Source organism: Homo sapiens, chromosome 13 (assembly GCF_000001405.40).
Source record: "Homo sapiens chromosome 13, GRCh38.p14 Primary Assembly".
Lineage (NCBI taxonomy): Eukaryota > Metazoa > Chordata > Mammalia > Primates > Hominidae > Homo > Homo sapiens.
Genome location: NC_000013.11, coordinates 97,119,077 through 97,122,278, shown reverse-complemented (window position 1 = coordinate 97,122,278; position 3,202 = coordinate 97,119,077).

The window sequence follows — 3,202 nt, the reverse complement described above, 5'->3', positions numbered from 1 at the left end:
TGAAATTTAATATGGATTAACACTCCCAGACACATTACAAATTTTATCTCTTTATCTTCACAACCCTAAGAGAGAGGTATTTTTGTTCTCCTTTTCCCTGGATAATCTTGGGCTCCAAGAGGTTAAATAAATTCCTCAAGGGCTTCTGGCCAGATAAGAGGCAGGATAAGGAGCCACACTCTGATCATGCCAAGTCCAGACAGAACCTTTACTCTCTACTATAAGAGAGTAAAGAGCAAGATGCCTGGTATTTCAAAGATTTCTAAATACCTATTCATCCTATGTGACTAAGTAGACTGTGTGTTTATTTCTCCTTTTTGTGTTTATGTTGTTAACTATATGCTTCTAGATAGTAAGGCAACAAGCCTTATGAGAATGGTTACTGATGTGCCTTTTTGTTTGTTTGTTTGTTTGTTTTGAGACAGAGTCTCGTTCTCTCACCCAGGCTGGAGTGCAGTGCGGTGATCATGGCTCACTGCAGCCTCGAACTCCTGGGCTCAAGAAATCCTCTCTCCTTGGCCTCTCAAAAGTGCTAGAATTACAGGCATGAGCCACTGTGCCTGGCTACTGATGTGCCTTTTCCTGAAGAGATTAAAGTGGAGAGGAGGAAAGAGAATAAGAATGTGGAAGGAAGAAACGAAGTCCATCTTCTAGGTAGAGTGGGATAGATCTGAAATGCGTCTGATGTTTCTTTAAGAATACTACATGAGGAAGATTTAAATTTGTATCTGGTAACATACAGCACAAACATAGGCAACACAACCTACCAAAGCATGTCAAGGGCAAAAGGCAGTGGCTTCCAGTAGTCAGTTGCAGGCACTGTCACCAATGTGCTGAAGAAGTCTACAAATTGAATGATTTTGTCCTTTTACCTTCCTTTATCAACAGCACCGCCAAACTCTGTTCCTCAAAGTGCTGTCTCATTTCCTCCAGCTCTAGAATCTTTATGTTTTTGGAACATCTCCCTATAGAAGGAATCATCTCCCTTCTTGTTTCATAGTTTTTTACATTTAAAAATGACCTCTTGCCCCACACGCCCACTTCTCAATCTTCCACCTTTATTCAGGACTGCCAATTTCTCACTGGGTGATAGAGTCATTTTACACTAAGGAGTGAATGACTAATAAACATTTCCAACCAGAGGAATGCACCTGAAAAAAGATATATATAAGACAATAAGAAAGAAATGATGATTAAGTGAGTTTTCAAGTAGTTAACATGTAGAATTATTTCTAGGTGGGGTCCAGGAATGGGTATATGTTTATTGCAGGGTGGACTGGGATTCTGATTCTCTCTGGTTGGTCTGAGAACAAAATTCAATATGGAAATTGAACTCAGAGAGGCTCTGATCCAAGTCAAGCACAATATAAGAACAAAGAGGCTGGAAAGAGAATCAGGAATGTTTAGGTCTAACCTGGAAAGAAGAGCTTAGTGCCACAAAGCAGAGACCAAATGGAGCAATGGAGGCAATAATGCCACCAATGGAAGTTGCCATGGAAACCCTCATCAGCAAGCAGGCAATTGGATTTTGGAAACTGACCGAAGCAAGACTTGATGGCAAGAGAGAGAAGAAAAGGATGAAGCCCTAAAATGAAGTCAGACATTGAAGACGAATGGAGTGACCCCATTGCCCTTGTGCCAAGGAAAGTGCACATCACTGGTACATGACTAAACATGACAGATCTGAACAGCCAATCTCTCCAGCCAGGAGGTCCATGAGCAAATGTGTGAGAATCTGCCTTTTGGTGGCATTACAGAGCTCATGATTCATCCTGCAGAACCATGTGATAGGTGGGTGGAATCTCTTTTAAAATATTTCCAAGAAGAATAGGTAGCATGTCCATACCTAATTTTTAGCAGAAATTATTTCTCCACTGAAATATTAAGAGCAGAGGCAGGTAAAATGATTACTGCCATGATTTTTCCCACTCAGTATCCCCTTCTGAATGTGGATATGAGGATTGTGCCAGCATACCAAAGATTGATTTCTCTGTTTTCTGGCTGAAACTGATCCTGAAATTATATGATTATATGGACTTACAACATTGGCACTCGTAATGCACATGGATTGGTTTTCCATAAATTATCACTTGAAGAAAAGTCTGTGGTACTAAATGTACACATGTGGTTACAAAAATTTTCCAGAGAGGAAAAGCCGAGAGAATGCCAGAGAAAAGAAAGAACTCTTTCAGCATCACACAGGAACTACAGAGGGCTGATTCAAAAGTGGAGTATACACATATCACTGATCCCTGAAATATGGAATGAGAGATTCCTCAGGACAATGAATACGCTCTTGGAAATAGTGTATATTAGAAAAAAGTAAAACAAGTTACCATGATGTAATATTGTATGTAGCAAGAAAAGAGCAGGTGCCATCAGGAATTTGAAGATCTGCCATGAGTGTTTCTGACCAGAGTAATGCTTCTATGTTCAATAATATAATATATATGCATTATGATCCTAGTAACTTCCTTTTGTAATTATAAGTTATATCCCAACTTGAGGCTGGCTACAAGAAGGACTTGAAGTGAAATGACAGGATAGAAAAATGCTATGCTTTTAAGGAATTGCTATGTTATTAGCTTAATGCTATAACCTTGACAGGCCCAACTGAGGAGTGTGCTGGGACTTCAAGTCCAGACTAGAATAGAAGAAAAGAGACTAGAACAAAAGAGGGATGAGGCATGACCAGGTCACAACAGCAAAGTTGGCGTATGATTTGTCACCTGGAGAGAGGGGGCGAGGATTTAATGGTTAATCACATTGACTGGAACCAAAAAGGAGATTATAGCCAAAGAATGAGTAAAGAACTAGAGCAGATGTTTCCAGGCAGTAGTAAATATTGAAGTTGAGTGATGGCAGCCCTTTGGTTCCAGAAAGGTTGTCCAATTCAGAGCACGACTTCAAGAGGTAGAGTAGGCATGAGAGTTAAGGGGTGAGAGTTAAGTTCCCTCATATGACAGGCCAGTAAAATTTAGGAAAGGCACCAAAGTCTTAGCCAAGTGGGCTGGGATCCACCACGTGGGGTTGAATGCATGCAATGGACCCAAAACACAAGCCAGGAACGTAAGCAGGCATGGAATCTTATAGATTTCTGCAACCACAGAGGGAATAAAAGGCTACATCTTAGCAAGCTTGAAGCTGAGACTTGGCTTAAAATCATTTCCATATAATAGACTGCCTGATTTGTGGTAGTCAA